Raw genomic sequence first — 3,397 nt, forward strand, 5'->3', positions numbered from 1 at the left:
TGACAGAGTGAGACCCTGTCTCAAAAATTAAAAAAAAAAATAATAATTCTATGACAGAAGACTGCCGATCAACAACTTTTATTTTCTAGATTGGTGGCAGGAACGCAAGCATGGCAGAGGAGGGCTGATTGATGGATGGTTCATTCAAAGTGGGAGGAGCTACCTATTGGGTACTATGTTTATCACCTAGGTGACAAAATAATATATATACCAAACCCCTGAGACACACAATTTACCTGTATATCAAACCTGCACATTCCCGAGCCAAAAATAAAAGTTAAAAAAACCCACAATAAACAAAGTCAGAGGAACTATTTTCATGAGAAGTTTTCTGAGACACCAGGTATATGAAAAGAAGCTTTGGCGAGAGGTAACAAAAATGTGGCTGAATTCATGAGAGAATAATTCTCCATTCTCTCATACAGAGCATAACTTCTGTACCTTAAAAAAAATTGGTTTTCTTCCCCCCTTTTACATGTAGGGAATGGGCTTGAAATGGAAAGACCAGGGCAGCACATGCAAAGTCAAAGGCACTAAAGGATGATCCCAATAAGAAAACTGAAAAATGCCCAGCACTATATTTAGAAAAATTGAGGCTCAAAGTCATTTATGCAGCCAACAGACATATGAAAAAAATGCTCATCATCATTGCTCATCAGAGAAATGCAAATCAAAACCGCAATGAGATACCATCTCATGCCACTTAGAATGAGGATCATTAAAAAGTCAGGAAACAACAGATGCTGGAGAGGATGTGGAGAAATGGGAACACTTTTACAGTGTTGGTGGGAGTGTAAATTAGTTCAACCATCGTGGAAAACAGTATGGTGTTTCCTCAAGGATCTAGAACTAAAAATACTATTTGACCCAGTGATCCCATTACTGGGCATATACTCAATGGATTATAAATCATGCTACTATAAAGACACATGCACATGTATGTTTATTGTGGCACTATTCACAATAGCAAATACTTGGAACTAACCCAAATGTCCAACAATGATAGACTGGATTAAGAAAATGTGGCACATATACACCATGGAATACTATGCAGCCATAAACAAGGATGCATTCATGTCCTTTCCAGGGACATGGATGAAGCTGAAAGCCATCATTCTAAGCAAACTATCACAAGGACAGAAAACCAAATGCTGCATGTTCTCACTCATAGGTGGGAGTTGAACAATGAGAACACATGGACACAGGGCGGGGAATATCACACACCAGGGCCTGTTGGGGTTGGGGGGCTAGGGGAGGGATAGCATTAGGAGAAATACGTAACGTAAATGATGAGTTGATGGATGCAGAAAACCAACATGGCACATGTATACTTATGTAACAAACCTGCACATTGTGCACATGTACCCTAGAACTTAAAGTATAATTTAAAAAAAGAAAAATTGATTCTCAGTGCAAAGCTAATAACTAATGATGGAATGAACAGATGTTCACCAAGTGGCCAAAGTTCTCATTTTAGGGTGAGAGAGCCAACTGATAAGAGATATCATTAATACGTACAAATTCACTGGTATTCCCAACTCAACAATGGTATAAGAAATGCCTGGTTTTTTTGTTTGTTTGTTTGTTTGTTTGTTTTTTGAGATGAAGTCTTGCTCTTATCACCCAGGCTGGAGTGCAATGGTGCAAACTCAGCTCACTGCAACCTCCGCCTCCCAGGTTCAAGTGATTTTCCTGCCTCAGCCTCCTGAGTAACTGGAATTACAGGTGCCTGCCACCATGGCCGGCTAATTTTTTTGCATGTTTAGTAGAGATGGAGTTTCACCATGTTGGCCAGGCTGGTCTCAAACTCCTGATCTCAGGCGATCTGCCCACCTTGGCCTCCCAAAGTGCTGGGATTATAGGCGTGAGCCACCGTGCCCGGCCGCCTGTTCGGTTTTATAACAGAAATTTAGACCAATCAGTTGGGAAAGAAAGGGAATTACTTATCAAGTTAATTTTTCTGGAAAACATATATACATTAAAAATAGAATAAATATGGCCAAACTTGAACATTAAGGCCATAAACTCAGAATTTCTATTAGTAACACAGCAAGAATGAGATTCTCATCCTGTGTCTCCTTGTGAGCAAAAAAGCATCTGGTTTTGTTTTTCTGATTTTAATTTGCTTGGCAATCTGGTAAACTTGTTTTATGTTTATAAATTAGATCCAATCTAAAAGTATATGTGAGATTGGAATTCAGCAGGCCTCAAATCATTGCAGGTTTTATACATATAAGGCTTGCTATGTACTGTAGAAACTTGTTGCTTAAACTTTCTTTTTAAAATTGTTTCTCTTTACATACTAGGAAGTGTTTGAACAGCTTGAGACCTATTGGCCTGGAACTATTTTCCTATGATCTAAGCACTTGACTTAGAGTTTAAGTATTTCAGTAGGTTCAGAGCTAAACATCTTTTTAAAAATATCTGATTTTTAACCCCCATTTCTTTTTAAGCTGATCATATAATAAGGATTTTAAGGATCTATTTGTTTTTCAAAGACAATGATTTTTCTAAGTGGCACTCTAAATTTACATTGGCATTTCAACCAACACTCTAGTAAATCTACAAGCTATAATTAAAAGCAATGCCGCAACTTTATAGTGCTAGTGAAAGTCTTACTTCTTTAAGTTACAAGTAAAAGATATTAACTTCTGCCTACAAAGTAATTATTTTAAAGAAAAATAAGTGAAATAAGTGCAAGTTAAAAAGTTTGTTTAAGACTCTTAATGTAAGAATTCAAACTCTCATCTCTGCCTCACAGAGTGGAATTGTCATAAATGAAAATATCTTTTTATTCTACTTAGAAGCATCTTTTTAAAGTGCATATGATGAGCAAAGTGTGTGAAGATATAAATATATATTTAAAGTGTAATGGTGTACAACAATCACTATAACAGTAAGTAAAGCAATGCCATAAAAATGGAGAACACATTCTTCAACACATTGAGAAAGTTATTTTCAAAGCCTGGCCCATTAGGTTGGAACCAGAAGTTTCCAGATATATGCCCACATTTGCATGAAACTAAATATTTTACATTCCAGTGACGGATTGGTACATACTTGAGAATGGATGGTTGTACTGGCTCTGAAAGAAACAGGAAAAAAATGACCTTCTAAATTATGTGAAGTCAAGTAGCTTGGAGAATAGAAAGCAGATCTCTACTGAGGAGACATCTAGTTAATCTGCGTTCTCACCAGAGATCTACTGATCCAGGGCCCCGCTGGAATACTGGAGCAAATTCATGCAGCTGGTCTGAAGTCAGATTTTTGCCAACTCTGTCCTCTCTTATGATATGCTGTCACTGTTGGAATCATGGCATGTCTAGATTGAAGCTGAGCATAAAGTCCAAAAACTTTTTTTGGGCAGAAGTGGCTATATTTCTCTTGCAAGCTGCAA

This window comes from Homo sapiens, chromosome 5, assembly GCF_000001405.40.
Source record: "Homo sapiens chromosome 5, GRCh38.p14 Primary Assembly".
Lineage (NCBI taxonomy): Eukaryota > Metazoa > Chordata > Mammalia > Primates > Hominidae > Homo > Homo sapiens.